General features: G+C 43.8%; 1 long non-coding RNA gene across 2 annotated transcripts; it reads left to right on the top strand.

Moving 5' to 3' along the window:
• The first annotated feature begins 592 nt into the window (after positions 1-592).
• Positions 593-18,064, top strand: LOC101929790 (uncharacterized). 2 transcript variants are annotated; one of them, XR_922104.2, is made up of 7 exons: positions 593-670; positions 3,088-3,197; positions 3,342-3,502; positions 4,325-4,381; positions 11,575-11,811; positions 13,770-13,983; positions 17,545-18,064. It is a non-coding gene; the product is annotated as an uncharacterized LOC101929790 (long non-coding RNA). The 2 variants fall into 2 exon arrangements; XR_254364.3 differs by lacking the exon at positions 3,088-3,197 and having other exon boundaries at positions 597-670.
• The last annotated feature ends 862 nt before the right edge of the window (positions 18,065-18,926 follow it).

Raw genomic sequence — 18,926 nt, 5'->3', positions numbered from 1 at the left:
TGATCCAAAACCTTTTTGAAATGGGGCTGAGCAAAGTCCAGCAGGAATTGCGTGGTTAGGATCCACAACCTGGAACTAATCTTCTGTGACATGGGGCTTTGCCTCTGGAGTCTGCATTTCTTTCTACCTTTATGGCAATCATTTTATTTTCCTTCCTCTCCTACTCCCTTGGTTCTTCCCCTTTCTCCTTATGGCAGCATCCTCCCCTTAATCCTTTGCACATCATCCCCAGCAGAATTGGTCAAATGTTGCCCAGGTCACGGTCCTGACCATCTCCATGTGGGGCTGTCCTTGTGACCCCCTGCTCCCCTGGGACCCTCTTCACTGACCTGACCTCTCTGTCATGATTGCTTTCAGCTGAGCTGGCTGGTTTAGGAGAAAACCTAGAATTGTGGAGACCCAGAGCCAATCTCTGCCCTCTCTTATCTCCAAGAGAGGAAGAAAATAATAGGTATCACCATGGAGAAATGACCCACATGAGGGCTGAGACTCTCCAGCAGTTAGAGCAGAGGAAACTCCCTGAAGAAGGGAGGAGCTGAGATCCCAGGCTGGGAGAGCAGGCTTGTGTTAAACATTACTTAATCTTTATGTGCTCCCTGCCTGAATCTACCAGCCAGCGAATGACAACTGACTGAGTATAAATACTAGGACTACAGAACCGTGATAAAAGGTTTGTCCAAGGAAAAGCCCTTTTACTTTATTTGTTTTCACAGTGGAAATTGCTGTTTTTGATCCAAAGTTTTCTGAAACGCAGCAGTGAGTTCCTGGTGGGTGAGTTAGGTGCTTTGGACCTGGAGGCTGAGGCCAAGGCTTGTGTGGTCGATCTGCTGCCACCATGTGGTGAGGGAGCCTGGGAGAGTCTTAGTCTTTCTTGGCTTCACTTTCCTCCTCAGTGAGGTAGGGGCTTATTGTTCCTCTCTGAGGTCGCTTCCTACTGTGTTTTCTCTGAGTCTCTGAGGAACTGAGATGGTTTTTATTTATTTATTTTTTTCCTTCCCTTTCCCTCCTTCTTTCGTGTGCCCAGCTGCCAATCAAGCCACCCACCTTTCAATTTGCTGGGGAAGGGGGCGGTACCCAACCCCCTCTATTACTAGGGGGTTGTTATGGTAACTCCCCACGCGAGGGCTGGGTGGCCTCTAGATAGGACGGGCTCTCCACCCACCCAATTGCTATGGCAACAGTGGAGCCGCTGAGGGAGGGGCCACTCCGTGAGAACTTGGCTGGAGAAACCACGTGGGAGTTGGGGGGCAGAGGAGGGGCACCGGCTGCCTCAGGAATGCCCTTTCCACCCTCACCTAGCAGGTTGGGGAAGCATCGAGGTGCTCTCAGATCTCAGGATAAGGAATCCTACCGCAGACGTGTATCTCTGCACCTCTTTTAACGAAGAGTTCTGAACAAAGGAACTGTTTCCACAATTATTCATTGATCACTGGAGTCGCGCGTGGAGGAAGGGGTGGCGAAGGGGAAGAGAGGGAATCTGCGTTCAGTCCCTTAAAATATTGCTTGGGTCGCCTTAGATCTAGTCATGTTGGCATAGCGCCTACAGCCATTAGCCTCAGTGGAGGCTGGGTAATGCTATCTAAGAACCACGAGTCATGTTCTACCACTGAAATGCTGTGTGACCTTGAGCAAGTTGCTTTGCTTCTCTGAGGTTTTCTTTCACTGTGAAATTGAGGGGGGAGGCTGTATGATCCTCAAGAGCTCTTCTAGCACCAACACTGCCTCTGAAAGACTCCACCACCAGCCTTAATATAAACATCATTTAAGAGAGTTTAATTTAGAAGTCCTTGAAAAATAGCTGAACACATTCCTTTCTGGACCCTTTTTAGCATTTGGGTGCACAGCCAGTCGGCCCCCTTCCCTAACCCCTAGCCCATTTTCCTTGCCACTGCCCTTATTCAAGCCGCTATCCCCATTCATCTCCTATTTGGCCTTCCGGCCTGACTCCTTCAAGTCAATTCTTTTTTTTTTTTTTTTTTTTTTTTGAGACAGAGTCTCACTCCAAGGCCCAGGCTGGAGTGCAGTGGCGCGATCTTAGCTCACTGCAAGCTCCGCTTTCCGGGTTCACGCCATTCTCCTGCCTCAGCCTCCCGAGCAGCTGGGACTACAGGCGCCCGCCACCTCGCCCGGCTAATTTTTTGTATTTTTTAGTGGAGACGGGGTTTCACCATGTTAGCCAGGATGGTCTCGATCTCATGACCTCGTGATCCGCCCGCCTCGGCCTCCCAAAGTGCTGGGATTACAGGCGTCAGCCACTGTGCCCAGCCTCTATTTTTTTTTTTAAAGACAAAGTCTCGCTCTGTCACCCAGGCTGGAGTACAATGGTATGATCTCTGCTCACTGCAACCTCAAGCTTCCCGGCCCAAGCTATCCTCCAGCCTCAGCCTCCCAAGTAGCCAGGACCACAGGCAGTGCATGCCACCACGCCTGGCTGATTCTTATATGTTTTGTAGAGATGGGGCTTTGCCATGTCGCCCAATCTGGTCTCAAACCCCTGGCCCCAAGTGATCTGCCCGCCTCGGCCTCCCAAAATGGGGAGATTACAGGATCCCTTGAGGACAGGAGTTGGAGGCCAGCCTGGCCAACATGGTGGGGTTTTTTTTTTTTTTTTTTTTTTTGAGACAGTTTTAGTTTAGTTTAGTTTTTTTGTGAATTTGTGAATTTGTTTTTATTGGGGAACAGGACACAGGGTAGAAAATGTCACCTTGGTGGAGACAGAGTTTTGTTCTCGTTGCCCAGGCTGGAGTGCAGTGACACAATCCCGGCCCACCGCAACCTCCGCCTCCCGGGTTCAAGCAACTCTCCTATCTCAGCCTCCCGAGTAGCTGGGACTACAGGCGCACGCCACCACGCCCAGCCAATCCTTTGCATTTTCAGTTGAGATGGGGTCTCACCATGTTGGCCAGGCTGGTCTCGAACTCCCCATCTCAGGCGATCCACCTGCATCGGCCTCCCAAAGTGCAGGGATCACAGGCGTGAACCACCACAACCGGCCAAGCCTGGCAGACATGGTGAAACTCTGCTGAGATGGTTTTTAATGCCACCCAGGACCTGCAGCTGAGACCTGACTCTGTGTGTCTCCTGCAGGAGCCTGAGCTGAGTCCACACACTGGAAGCCCAGAACTGAGGGAACAGATGAAAGAAAGAAAGTCAGCAGGTTTAGGGGATGAGAACAACTCACAAAGGACAAGCCATTGGTAAATGAAAACCAAAGAAGGGGGGAATAAGGACAAGTTGGGACAGAAGCCTCAGGGGAAATGGGCAATGCCTGTCATCATCCAAACTCTCAAGGAGCAGCGCGAGCTGAGCAGTGGGGACTGAGAGAGAAATTTACTCCACAGGAGTCTCCTGCCCCTGGCCAGGGAGAGCCACAGGCTGGATGACATCTGGTTTATAGTGAGGGGCAGCAGCAACTCCAAGAGGGGGAAGATGTGACCATGAGCCCCGCCCCAGACCCAGGAGGCTTGACCTTGGGGCTGCCGTAGCAGTGGATGCTCTTCAGGTCAGTGTGGGTTAGAGGGAATAACCATGCTGGGAGAAGGGTTGGAGACATCCATTCTTATGTTAAAAAGCTCTGCCCTAGGTCAGGTGCTAGAGTAAGTGTCCCTTGCTAGTATACAAAGCAGTGATACTTATAATATTCTTCTGTACTTACAGTTGAAGGAGGTTTCCAAATGATATCTCATAAATATTTATTGGTGTTTAATTTTCTTTACGCTGTGTTAAACACTTGGGATTCAGATATTAATGTCTCCCCAAAGGAACTCAAGCCCATGAGAGAAAGAACAGAAATATAGCTTTTTAAGAAAATATGAAAGTTCCCCCACATTGGGGTGCTGTGGCAACCCATAGAGTGGGAGTTTAGGTGAAGACATTGCTCCTAATGACAGGGGGAACCATAAGAGGACTTCTTCAGAACAGACTCATTTTCCTCCAATGTCCCACAGAGAGGGATCCTGGGGCATGAATGGTGTAAGGCAAGGGCCAGTCTAAGGAAAGGGATTTGCTGCATCCTGGGAGAAATCTCAGCATCCCTGACAGGACATTTGGGACAGGAATGCAGGTGAGAGGAGGTTTGCAATCGCTTTTATTCAATAATTGATGAACACTCTCCTGAGAACTCCCTCAGTGCTAGACCCTGAGCTGGGAACCATGAACACAGAGATTAGCAAGATATGATCTCAGCTTTGACAGAACTCTCAGTCTAGTGACCAGCGATTCCTGAGAAGTATGGTGATGGTGGGTTCACTGGAACCAGTGGCCCATGCTGCATGGAGATGACCTCAGTGGATGGCCTGGTCTCTCTTCTGTTTTTTTCAAATAGCTGAATGACCTATCCTGGGCCCGTGACCCTGGACTTCAGCCAGATCAGCATCTCAAGGTACAACCAACATCTTGGCTCCATGATGGGTCAAAACAGTTAACACACCCAAGGTATTCAAGGTATCAGTAGCTACTGACTATGTCCTGGCCAGCTGTGAAAAGAAAGGGGTGAATTTAACAAGTATTCTAAAATTGTCCTTGACATAGTAATCACAGATTATCTATCTTCTGTCTGGTAATATATATATATATATGTTTTTGTTTTTGTTGTTGTTGTTTTGTTTTTTTGTGACGGAGTTTCGCTCTTTTTACCCAGGCTGGAGTTCAATGGCATGATCTCGGCTCACTGCAACCTCTGCCTCCGGGTTCAAGTGATTCTCCTGCCTCAGCCTCCTGAGTAGCTGGGATTACAGGTGTGTGCCACCACGCCCGGCTAATTTCCTATATTTTTAGTAGAGACGGGTTTTCACCACGTCGGCCAGGCTGGTTTCGAACTCCTGACTTCAGGTGATCCACCCACCTCGGCCTCCCAAAGTGCTGGGATTACAGGCGTGAGCCACCACTCCCAGCCTCTGTCTGGTAATTTAAATGCTTTGGAGACTCCAAGATTCACCCATGTCCAAAATAAATTCTATATCAGTCATAGTACTAGCATTTAGAAGTTGTGTGTTTTATCCTCTAATTATAGATGAAATACCTAAGGTGGAAAGGAGTAAAGCAGCTTCCATGAATGTAGTGAGAATGTAGGGGGGTTAGGGACTAAAGTCCTGCCTTAGGATTCCCCAGCAGTTGCCAGTCACAATTTTTGTACTCTTAGAAACAACAACAACAACAACAAAATGACAACCTGTTTTGTTCCTCGCTTACCCTATCCAATTCTCTACACCATAACATCTCTGCTTATCAAGACAACTTGGATTCTCAATTTGTTGAGCTCAACAAATGCATCTCTTGAGCCCCTGTGGGTAAAGCATTATGCTAGTTACGGCGGGTGATACAGAGGAAGCACAGAAGAGACCTTAGTGACAAGAGCTTAAGATTTCTGCTCTCAGCTCAGCCTGAGTTGCCTGCAGGTGAGAAAATCAGTAGCCGACACCCACAGGTGCATTCTGGTGAAAGGGTCGATGATAATGAATAGTGGTTCTGACAGGGCTGGGCTCTTAACCTCCCAAAGATGCTGGTCAAACAGGATCTGGAGGATCTCTGCACATAGTGTCTGACTACTGACTGTCATAAGTGAATGTCGCCAAGTCTTGGCCTGGATCCCCTCCCTTTGTTTCATTTCACAGATTACATGTTGACAGCAGGAAAATCAACAGAAAGACCATGAGGCTAGACTCCAAAAGACTTAGTAATGCTGCTGGGTGGGCCATGAATTTTTAAAAACACATGAAGGGCCTTCTCAGAAGTGAAGTTTTAGGAAATATAAAATGCATAGCTGGGATACATTATAGTGTACTGATAGAACAAATATTGGATATAGCAGCATCTAATAACTTCTGGAGGAAAAAATATTTTTCACATTACTCCAATTATGGCCTTATATGACAAAAAAGAAAAAAAAATCCCTAAGAGAACCACTAACATCCACTGGTTTTGTAGAAACAGGATACCCTTAGTGCACTTAAAGTTGGAAAAATGGCTCTGCCTTTAGGGCCATGCAATGAAACAGACTGTGTGGTAGTTGACACAGGAAGAGCAGAGCAGAGTTTATAACAATGGCCACAAGACAGTTAAGAAAATGCTTTGGGGCTTTTAAGCAGCAGATAAGGTGACTCAGAGGAATGTTAGACAATCGCAGAAAAGCAACTTCAGCAAAGTTTTTGATTCAGTGGGCACTGCATACTTAGTCCATGCTCTGCATCTGTTCTTTCACAGTCTGTCCCTTCATCGACTTGGGCCTACAATGACTTTTCTGGGAGGGGACAGGGATCAACACAACAGCATGCACACACCTGAAATAAAGAATGAATTTCTGATTTTCAGATTTTAGTCTCTGACATAACCAAAGAAGTGACTACCATAGATGTTAACTTTTTTTTTTATTATTATACTTTAAGTTTTAGGGTACATGTGCACAACGTGCAGGTTTGTTACATATGTATACCTGTGCCATGTTGGTGTGCTGCACCCATTAACTCATCATTTAACATTAGGTATATTTCCTAATGCTATCCCTCCCCCACCCCCCCAGATGTTAACTATTAATAACATAAATGATGCTCACAAATATGCAGATCTTATAATAACGAGGTAAAATAGCTTAAAAAATAGATGGTAGAACTGTAGTCCAGGGACACTAATAGAAGTGACCCATAACATTACATCATCTCCACTTCCAACAAAAATCAGGCAAAAGAAGGAAGGAGACTGGCAACCCAATGCACAGAACTATATATAACAGGCATACTAGTTATTGGTTGGTTATAAACCAGTGGGAATAAATCTTTTTTATATACTGACTCTTGGTTTATGTCACTGAGGCACAGCATGGAACAATAGAAAACCGGACTGTAAGATAAATTCATTTGAGTAACTGGACTTTTGTAAACCATTAGACAGACATTTGAGAAACCAAATTTAAAGCTGTTTGTGAGCCATGTTAGCCTATCAAGGTTGAAATTCAGGAGAGATACATAACGAAAAATAAATGCTTTTTTTTTTGTGACACTGTGATCTGATGCATTGGGAATGTGATCTTGTGAATCACTCAGGTGAGCAAGCCTGACATGAGTGGGCATAAAGGTCAGTAACTGAAGAGGTACCAAAATGTGCTACATGTGTCAATTGTGACCTAAAGAACTGAAGGCATTCACCCTCCCTTGAAGTAATGAAGCTGACACAGCAGGGGGCTGCAAATTCCACTGCAGATCAGGGTCTTGAAGCTGACATACTGAAGAGTGGACTCCCACTTGAGATACAGAGTAGGAACTACTGTTTCCTACGGCTACTGAATATCCCACAAACTAACCTCCTCAGCATGCCATTATTAATTATTTTAAAGCTCTTAAAGGTCTCATTTTATAATAGATCACATCAGAAGGAAGACTAATAAGGATCAGGTACAAACTCATACTTGCTGGACATATCATTGCATATCATCCCAAAGTTTTTGGCACTACATAATGTTGGAATAGATTCTTGAATATTAAATTTTAAACTAAGGGACAACATTGGCTTCTAAATTTTACAACTATAGTATTGCAGCTAAACACAAGTGCAGATGGGCAGCCTTATAACTGCATGAGTAATCTTAAGGAAAACTTATTGGTGAACATACAGAACATTTCACATGCATTTGTCTACAAAGGACAAACTCTTCCCAACCTCAGAACTTGATATGCGTTAGGACATTCCTCTCCCTTGGGCTGGTGATAAAGCTCCAATTGAAATGAGAAAGATTCTTCATGCCTGGTAAATACGCAAGTTTCCAAAGATATTGCCACTGGCCAATCAAACCTGAATCCAAAAAGCATTTGTTTCTAGCAGGATATAAGATCAATATGCAAAAATAAATTGTGTTTATGCAATTGCACGGCAGAATTTAAATGTAAAAGGAATACCATTTACAATAATGTCAAGTGTATAAAATCCATAAATGTGAATATGACTGAAAATTAGAGCATATTTCACGGAGAACATAGTGCAGGTCTAATAACTGGAAAGATATTGTTTGTTCATGTGTAAGAATATTGTTGAGATGTTCATTTCCCCTAATTTGATCTATGAATTCAATGCAATCCGACTCAAAATTTCAGCATGCATCGTTGGTAGAAAATGGCAGCTGATTCTAAAATTAACATGAACTAGCATAACCAAAATGCCTGTATAACGAAGTGCAAAATTGGAGGGCTAGCTCCACCTGATTTAAAGAACAATCACAGAGTTGTAATGGCCACAACAGAGCTTTGGTATGTGATCAATTAAATGGATCAAAAGAAAATAGAGTCCAAATATAAATGAACACATATATTGAGAACAGATTTTTGACAATCTTGAAAAAGCAATGTATTTAAAAATGCATAATATTTCAACAAACGATTGAAGATTTTCTTTTTAAGCAATGGATGTGACATATTTGTAACCATATAAAAATAAACAAGTAGAAAAAACTGAATTCATGTGTCATATCATATATTAAAATTAGTGGTTACAAGAGGCTGGGAAGGAGATAGGGGAGAAGGAAGAAAAGATATTGGTTAATGCATATAAAATATAGTTAAATAGAAGGAATAAGTTCTAGTATTTGATAGTATATTAGGGAGACTATAACTCAAAATAACTTCTTGTATATTTTAAAATAACTAGAAGAGAGGAATTGGGATATTCCTAACATAAAGAAAAGATAAAGTTTTGAGGTGACAGATATACTACTTACACTGATTCAATCATTATAAATTGTATATGTTTATCAAAATATCATGTGTATCCCCAAAATGTGTGCCACAATTATACATCAATTAAAATAATGAAGAGTACATCTTAGACAAATTAACAATGATTCCAATCCCATCGAGTATCTTTTCTGACCACAATGGTATGAAACTAAAAATTAACTACATAAGGAAAACTGGAAAATTAAAAAATACATGGAAATTAAACAACTTGCCTTTGAACAACTGATTGATCAAAGAACAAATCAAAAGGGAAATTTGAAAATATATTGAGGCCAACAAAAGTGAAAACAAACATAACAAAATCTTTGGAAACAGGAAAAACAGCTCTTAAGAGTCAAGTTTATAACCATAAATGCATACATTAAAAAAGAAGAAAGACTTCAAATAAACATTACACCTCAAGAAACCAGGAAAAAAACAACAAAATAAATCCAAAGTTCACTGAAAAAAGGAAACAAAAATCAATGCAGAAGTAAATCAACTGAAGAACAGAAATACTACAGAAAAATAATAAAAGTGAGTTGTTGGTTTTTTGTTTTGTTTTGTTTTGTTTTTTTTCCTTTTCCTTTCTCTTTCTTTTTCTCTTTTTAGGAGAGACAACGTCTTACTATTCTTTCCAGGCTGATTGGGAACTACTGGCCTCCAGTGGTGATGCAACGTAGGCCTCTCGCACCCGAGTTGTTTTTCTGGAAAAAGTAAAATTAACAAACACTTGGCTAAACTAACTAAGAAAAAAATAGAGAAGACTCAAATAAATAACATGCGAAATGAAAGTGGAGGCATTACAACAGAAGCCTCACAAGTAAAAAGGATCATAAGAAACTATTATTAGGCCGGGCGCGGTGGCTCCTACGCCTGCAATCCCAGCACTTTGGGAGGCCGAGGCGGGCGGATCACGAGGTCACGAGATCGAGACCATCCTGGCTAACACGGTGAAACCCCGTCTCTACTAAAAATACAAAAAAATTAGCCGGGCGTGGTGGCGGGTGCCTGCTACCCAGCTAGCTACCCAGTAGCGTGTAGTCCCAGCTACTCGGGAGGCTGAGGCAGGAGAATGACAGGAACCCGGGAGGCGGAGCTTGCAGTGAGCCGAGATCCTGCCACTGCACTCCAGCCTGGGCGACAGAGCGAGACTCCGTCTCAAAAAAAAAAAAAAAAAGAAAAAAGAAACTGTTATTAACAGCTCTATACCAACAAATTGGATAACCTAGAGTAAATGGATAAATTCTTAGAAACACACAACCTACCAGGATTGAATCAAGAAGAAACCGAAAGCCTGAACGACCAATAACAAATAAAAGGACTGAAGAACCTCCCAACAAAGAGAAGCTCAGGACCAAATGGCCTCACAGCTCAACTCTTCCAAACATTCAAAAAAGAACCGGGCGCGGTGGCTCACGCTTGTAATCCCAGCACTTCGGGAGTCCAAGGTGGGCAGATTACCTGAGGTCAGGAGTTGGAGACCACCCTGATCAACATAGTAAAACCCTGTCTCTACTAAAAAAATACAAAAATTAACCGGGGGTGGCGGTGCGTCCGTGTAATCCCAGCTACTTTGGACGCTGAGGCAGGAGAATCGCCTTGCAGTGAGCCGAGATGGCGCCACTGCACTCCAGCCTGGGAGACGGAGCGAGAGTCTGTCTGGGGAAAAAAAAAAAAAAAGAAAGAAAAAAAAGAAAACGAAAACCACTGCAAATCATAATGCATTTTGTCCACTTTCTGAGAATGTGATTTCCTCTTCCTGTGGAAACAGCAATAATTTTTATGAGGGGGTGCTGCCCGGACCCCACTGGAGGAGTGGGTAAGATGAGGATTGTGCTCGGTGTTGCCTCCCTACAGAACCACACATACTGATCTGTAATACCTGTGGCCCCTAAGTGTCCGTGAAGGGACTGGTCCCTTTACAACATTGCGTATGGCTGCGGAAACCCACTATGTGGCAACAAGATGTATATGTGTGGGTTGGTGGTAAAACCATTATAGGCAACGGAAATTCAAAATGTTCCAGAACTCTTAAAAGTTCGCCTCATGTAGTATTTGGTTTCTTGCAGGGGGCCCCAAGCCCCCGGGGCTGTGGTCAGCTACCTGTCCTGGGCCTGTTAGGCACCAGGCCGCACAGCAGGATATGAGTGGCCCGCAAGCGAGCATTCCAGCCTGAGCCCCGCCTCCTGTCAGATCAGCGGTGGCATTAGATTCTCATAGAAGCACAAACCCTATTGTGAACTGTGCATGAACGGGATCTAGGTTGCGCGCTCCTTACGAGAATCTAATTAATGCCTGATGATCTGAGGTGGAACAGTTTCATTCCGAAATGATCCTTCCCTCTTTTCACGTCCCCCACCCCTGGTCCAAGGAAAAATTGTCTTCCACGAAACCAGTCCCCGAGGCAAAAAAGTTTGGAGACTGCTGGTCTACAGTGTCCCAAAACCCTTTTCTATGGTTCCTTCCCAAAGCCTGGAGGCTCTAAGTCCTCCCCTGTTCTTATACTCCTGTGTGTTGAGAAAAATAGCATTTCCTATGCTCTGAAGGTTCTCCAGAGCATTCTTTCTAGGCTGCAGGATGGAGATTAATAATAACAGAATATTTGGCATGGCCTTGTTAGCCAATCCAAAGCCCTCTGGGCTGAAGTGGGGGTTTTTCACTTCAGGGTCATCCAGCCTGGGTACCTTCCATCTCAGCATCCCCAGGCACAGACAGGAAGGTGACATCACCCCATTTACATGATGTCTGTCTTTGTGGCCTGGGCCACTGGGTGGCTTACCTCAGAGGCGGAGATGTCAGAGATGGGTGTTCTGGGCATGATTAACAAAGGGAAAGCTGAGAGCGTTCCTACTGAAGCCCCTTCTCCTTTCAGCTCCCACCCAGGTGGCCTGTCCTCACGGGCCTTGGAGTGGAGACTTGAGCCACCACCTGTCAGAGGTGGAGACTTCACAGGCACAGCTGGAGCCAAGAATCCTGGTGCCCAATTGTCTGTGACTGCAACTGGATCAAGGGTTTGACTGTGGCTATGGCTTAGCCAGGCGGGATGTTTCCTCCACCACCTGCAGCTTCACAACCAACGGTGATCCTGGGAACCAATGGCCCTTCCAAGGTAGGGAAGGAAAGGGGACCAGGAAGCTCTCATCCGGGTGTCCTGGTCATGGTGCTGTGAGGGGAGGAGGCAATGGGGTCTCTTCGTGCTCCCTCAGAGTCAAGCAGAAATCTACAATGTTCCAACCCAGTGAGGTGAGCAAGAGCCTGGGGTTTAGGATCAAATCTGCTCTCAGGTCCTGGGCTTAACCCTTACTCATTCATCTCGGCCAAGTTATTTATGGTGTTGGCATTTACATCTCAGTCCTGTCATCTGAGAGACCTGAAAAATAATATCTACATTCCATCATTGTCGATAACATTAATTATGATAATTTCCAAAGGGCTAATTCAGTAAAAATTGCTTAATAAATCTATGAATAGATGTTATCTAATTCTGTTATCTTTCTGGTAAGTTAGCACTCAGGAAATGACTTCACGTGCATTGTTTCAACTGAGGAAGAGTAACTGTTAGGATCTCTACTTTCTAGAGACTCCCTTCCTGTGTTTACTTAGAAAGTATCTTTTGCCAGTTTTCTTTCTCTTCCTCAGCATCCCTTTTTAAGTCAATTTCCCCCGGTCATGCACTTCAGTAACAACCTATTAGGCACATTAGTAAAAGTGCAAATCCTGGGCCCACAAGTCAGTCTCCTGACATACCCAGCTTCTTGCTCTGTTTTCTCCCCTCGTTTTGAAATAAAAGAATGAAAGGGCAACCTTCTCATGGAAAGGGTATAAATCTGTCTCTTTTATGAAACTCCATTTAGTTCATCATCTCCATTCATGCCCACGGCCATGTCCTCAGTTTTCTTCTCACAGGGATCCACTTCTGCCCAGATTTCCTTAAAACCCTGGGTTGTGTTCATCCTTACTCTCCGTCCCACTCAATATCTACTCCTGGAGCCCCTGGGGCTGCCTGGTGCTCATCTGTCAATCGATGCCCCCAGCCGAGGAATAAGGAGACCCACGTCCTCAGGAGGAGGGAGGGTCACGTGAGATAACGAGCACCATCTGGGTCCATGGAGAGGACACATGGAAAACGCTCAGTGAGTGTCGGGGGATGCGTAGTCCCTGACACGTGCCCTGATAACTTTGAGTATTTAAACTGATTTCTTCCCACTGGTGTCTCTTTTGCTTCTCCATGGATTCCTGCACCCCTAGTCAGGACTCACCCCGCTGGCTCCAACACTCTTACCTGCTGGCTTTCCCAGGAGTCCGGATCACTAACCAGGTTCCAGGCAAGAGGACAGAGTGAATGCCTTTTGTTTCATTGTCCTTTATCTGGTGACTTCTCCTTGCTGTCTAATAGGGCATTTGTTTCTCACCATGTCTTCTCTCTCTCGTTCATCTTATTTTTCTAAAATTTTTTCCAGTTTCAGTGGACCAGATTATAATGTTAGTGATTATAACGCTAATTCAACATCTTCCACATCCTTATGTAACAATTTCTTCCAATAGATTTATATATATAAATATATGCATTTATGTCATTGGATATATATATTATGCATATTTGGCATGTATTTTTAATAAAATGTAGATATATGCTATATACATATCTGCATGCTCATTTCATCAATATCTCATGTTTAGTCTATCCAATTCTTTTCTCTCATATGTTCATTTAATGTTGAGTTTTAGAATCTCCTCCCTCCCAAAACACCGCCTGTATCCAGTCTGACTTCCTTGCCTTTGCCTTATCTACCTGGAAACTATTTGTGTTTATTGATCCTAAATTTTTTGAATATGTTTGTCAGTTGGGATCACCTTTTCCTCCTGGCAATCTTGTCATTACTGGGTGATGCATGAAAAATCAACAATACAGAAAATACCAAAATGTCTTTCCTGGCTTCCCTTTACCCGTTGGACTTTCTTATTCAAGGCCACTTTCCTTCTCTGATGATCCTCTTGGGTGGAAGAGAAAGTCACAGTAAGATCATGGATGACAGTGAACACTGTTGGGTGTGGTTTCATTTTCAGAGCTGGGTTGAGAGCCTTCCCTTGAATGAAGAACCCTCCCCAGCTGGAAGGTGATGCTATTGAAGGCTCAGCTGACAACATACATGGGCATCAAGTCATTGGCCACATTCATGCCTCAAGTGTCCTAAAACCGAAGATGATCAAAAGAAAACTGCTGTTCAGCAAGTGGAGACTGGCATGCAGATTCCCTGGCCTGCAAGCTTAGAGCAGGAAGGTAATCACATCTATGGCTCTTAGCTGCACTCACTCCTTATTCCTCTCTGTCTATGATGACAGCTCCTTCTCCCACTGCTTTTTTCTTCTGTATTTGTTCTCTCCAGCAGCTGCTGTCACCTCTGTCTGGTATTACCTCTGTGTCCCATGGGCTGCCATGGTGCCAGGTCCTTCTGATCCCCATCCCCTGTTTGCTCTCTGAACTCTGCTCTGTTCCCACTGCTGTTGTCCTAAGAGTCCCTCTCATGGCCACAGGAGAGCCCAACTTCCTTGTCCCCCTCCAAGTGCATGGTGTGAGCTGCTAAACACAGGGTTCTTTGCCTGGAATTGCACAGCTTGAGTAATTTGCCTTTCCTTTCTGCATCCCAAACTCCATTGCCCCTTTCTGCCAGGAGCATTGCTTTAATACGTCATTTACACACAGATTTTTCTCTTGGGACAGCTTTTGAGCAACACAACTAAGTCAAACTGTAACCCTCACCTTGTACATGGGAATGAGAAGTGTTAAAACTGAGCACTAAGAACTCCAAATCAAAAACTAAATTAGAACCTGGGTCACAGACGAGAGTTCCCTACTAGCCTGGAGTCAGGTGTGTCTTCATCTCTAGATGGGCAACCTTATGCCAGCGTGGATGAAGTTTCCAGGGACTGTGTCTGCTCCTCATGGAGTCACTTAGCTGACATTAACTGGAGAACATTTATGACATTCCAAAGGGACCTCAGCCAAAGAAAGATGCAGAGGGCAGGGCAGGACTTTGAACCTGCATAGACCACAAAGTGCATTCTCACCTCTGTCCTTTTTATTCACATATTTACTTCTACAAGCTCAGAGTCTAAAACACAACTCAGGTGAATCTTGAGGACAGAGAAATAAGAGAGCATTTAATGAATTAACTTTGAGAAAAGTGAGTCCAGGGGCCAGCTTTATGTCTACACAAGATGATAGACAAGAACCTATCTACAGGACAGACTTTGCCTCAGACCAGCCCAAGTGAGAGATTTAATTGAAATAGTCAGAAGAAAGACTAAAATCCACAGAGCCACAGAGAATGAAGGCAATCACGAGAGAAATGAGGATAGGAAAGAAAATGATGGGAAATCAGGTTGGTTCATTCATTGTCTCTAAATCCTGCTACCATGTAATAAGCACCTGGTGAGATTTCAATAAAGATGAATGCCTTGAACTGACATCTTGAGATTCTCACTTAAATGGTCTGGGGTGTGATGTGAGCATCAGTACCTTTAAAAAACTTCCATGATATTCTAATATACAACTGAAGATGACAAGGACCACTGGTCTACTCTGACCTCAGGTTTTCAACATGGAGATGACCACTTGTGTGGCTACTCCACACAAAAGGCGGAATATCCATCAGACATTGATGGGATCTGTATTCACCTCTCAACAGTAGTATTTGTAGAACGTAGAAAAAAATTAAAAAGAAAAACAAGAAAATAGATGGATTAGACCTGTAGTCTCTCTACTTAAAGCACACTTGCTTAATTTTGAGTACAAGTAAAATAAGAAATAGTCATTATATTGAAACCCAGTATACAGAAAACAATACCTCGTATATTACACATATTCAGATTTAGTATTTTCTTTTAAATTTTATTTTATTGTATTTTATTTTTAAGACAGAGTCTCGCTCTGTCACCCAGGCTGGAATGCAGTGGCGCAGTCTCGGCTCACTGCAACCTCTGTCTTGCGGGTTCAACAATTCTCATGCCTCAGCCTTCTGGGTAGCTGGGATTACAGGTGCCTGCCACCACACTTGGCTAATTTTTGTATTTTTTAGTAGAGGCATGGTTTCACCATGTTGGCAAGGCTGGTCTCGAACTTCTGGCTTCAAGTGATCCATCCACCTCTGCCTCCCAAAGAGCTGGGATTTAGGCATGAGCCATCATGCCCAGCCTTCTTTTCAATTTTAAAATAAATCCTGCAGTTTACATTTCCACACACTGATTCCACAGCCCATTAATGGGTTCGGCACTGCAATGTAAAAATTCTGCTTTGCTCAATTCTTGTCATTCAGCCAAATCCTCAGAGAGAACTCGTAGGTCTCACTCCACTAGACAGAATATAATAATAAGTAAAAACTGAAACTTGGCCGGGCATGGTGGCTCATGCTTCTAATTCCAACACTTTGGGAGGCTGAGGAGGGTGGATCACCTGAGGTCAGGAGTTCGAGACCAGCCTGACCAACATGGCGAAACCCTGTCTCTACTAAAAATACAAAAATTAGCCACGCATGATGGCACGTGCCTATAATCCCAGCTACTCGGGAGGCTGAGGCAGGAGAATCACTTGAACCCGGAAGGCAGAGGTTGCAGTGAGCTGAGATCACACCACTACACTCCAGCCTGGGTGACAGAGTGAGACTCCATCTCAAAAAAAAAAAAAAAAAAAAGAAACAATAATAATAAAAAAACTGAAACTCAGGAAGAGATGATATATGAATACTTTTTTATGCTACCCTTGATGCTGGCATGAAATTCTAAAAAGAAATCTTTCCCAAGAAACCACTCTGGGAAAAATGTAACAGGGAGAGGAGAATGTAATAAAACACAAACTAATCCTTTTCACTTTCTACTTCAGAGTTTTGTTGATCAGATATTGAGCATGTTTCTAGAAATGCCTTAAGGTGTAACCAGGTGTGGAATCAACTTCAGGGAATTAGGGATAATAAGTTGGGCCATGGTTACAATCACCACCCTTCCTTTGTAATTCCATTTGACTCTTTCCTTTTCTTCTGATCCTTTTTGGAAGAACACATAATATTTCTTTTGTCTTTTTCTCATTTTTTATTTTAACCAACAAAACAAGCAGCAGTGACATCATATTTCTTTGTAAAAGCTCATTCCTATCCTAGCCAAGGTGACCCAGCAACCTCTAGTGACTGTCGAGAACTCCAGATTGGAGAATTGACTCTCCCTTCTCTCTAACTTATTGAAAGAGACTTCGTGCGTGGGTTCTAGTTTCAGGGTTGTCCATTGCAAGTCATGTGGCTTTAGTTAAGTCAGCCCTGTGGCATCACTGCTCCTCTGTTGTAAAAGGCAGAACTGGATGTGGATGCGGTCTGAGGTCCTTCCTGTATCTCACCTCCAGGGTTCTTCCCATGGCCCTGCACACCCTTCCCTAAGAGACGGGGACATGGAGTTGTAAGGGAGTGGGTTTCTCTGCAAAAGGTCCTTTCCTTCTGCAGCCTTCTGTTTCTGAGCTTTCATGGTTGATGCTGAGAACATCCTCACTGAGGGGTGTGAAAAGCCATTACTCTGCTCCAGACACTGGGGATCAGGAGGAAAGGGGCTGCTGGTTGGGCAGAGCTAGGGTCCCTATATCCTTCACCTCAAGCTGACTGGAAGTTCAGGGGTGTTTATTTTTCACTTGCGGATGGCACTTGCCTCTTCACTCAGCCTGAGGCTCACCCTTCAGCTCATCCTCCTAGCAGGAGCTCAGTTTGCCCCTGGGCTATCACCACTTAACAGTCCCTCTAGACTCAGCCATCAGCAGGACCTGACAAAGATGCCCATTTCATCTTTCCTTCTCTCTCTCCTACAGATACTAAATGCTGCTGGAACAATGAAAAGAAAGAACGGATGTCACAAAAAGCATTTTCATTTGATGAATAGAACTAAAAGAGCAAAGCAATTGAAAGCTCAACACAACACAGGAGGGATCCATGGCTGAGGATTGTATTTCAGAACCACTGACTGCTCTTGACAATTGTTAACCCACTAGGCTCCTTTGGTTAGAGAAGCCACAGTCCTTCAGCCTCCACTTGATACCAATACTTAGGAAGACCAAAGCCAGATGGACAAACAGCATTGAGAGGCTTTAGCCCTACTCCTCTCAGCTTCCATCCTGTAGAGAACAGGAGTCAGGAGCTGCTGGCAGGAGACAGCATGTCACTTGGGACTCTGCCAGTGCAGAATACGAACAATGCCATGTTCTTGCTAAAAATGCTTAGCTTGAGTTTCATAGGAGGTAATCACCAGATAGACAACTGCAGAATGTAGAATACTGAGCAGGACAATAACCTGTCTCCTTCAGACAGTCCATGTCACCACGAATCACACAATAAAAAGGAGAAAAGACATTTTGGGTTCAAAAAAACTAAAAAGATAATGTAGCTATATTTCTTTAGTTATTTTGAACCCAAAGTATCTCCTCATCTTTTTGTTGTTGTCATTGATGGTAGGGACATGGACTTGTTTGTAGAGGACAGGTCAGCTGTCTGGCTCAATGTCCTACAAGAGACAGGGGGGACATGGAAGCGTACAGCTATATTTGTGGATTAGTCTAGCTATCTGTTCAGTATTTAAGGTTGTTGTTGCATAGATATTTATGACTTGAAATTTTGCATAGATATTTATGACTTTTGTCGGGGGGGGGTTGGTGGATTGGTCCTTTCATCATTTTATAACGTCCCTTTCTCTCTCTGATTAGTTTCTTTGTTCTTTTTTCTATGGACATCTTTCTTTTAAGGCAGAACTACTGGTCAGAGATTCCCTTAGCTTTTCTTAATCTGAAACTCTTTTGATCTACCCCTTAATTCCTGAAAGACTCAGCAAATAAATACAAGACATAAATAAGAACCAAATGGAAGTATTAGAAGTGAAAAATGCAACTAAAATAAAAAGTCCAGCAGATAGGCTCAGCAGCAGAATGGATGGTGTGGAGCAAACAAATCCATATACTGCAGATGAGAAAAACAGAAATTACAGAATCCTAACAGGGAGATGGGGTTTTGCCATGTTGACTAGGCTGGTCTCGAACTGTTGACCTCAGGTGATCCACCCACCTTGGCCTCCCAAAGTTCTGGGATTACAGGCATGAGCCAAAGAGCCTGGCCTCCCTTCTTTATTTCTATCATGAATAGATGTTGAATTTGTCAAATGATTTTTCTTCATTGACTGATAAACATTTTTGTGGTCTGGTTT

The sequence above is a fragment of the Homo sapiens genome, chromosome 1, assembly GCF_000001405.40.
Source record: "Homo sapiens chromosome 1, GRCh38.p14 Primary Assembly".
Classification (NCBI taxonomy): Eukaryota; Metazoa; Chordata; class Mammalia; order Primates; family Hominidae; genus Homo; species Homo sapiens.
The sequence above is the reverse complement of the archived record's forward strand: the minus strand, read 5'-3'. Positions and strand labels throughout refer to the sequence as shown.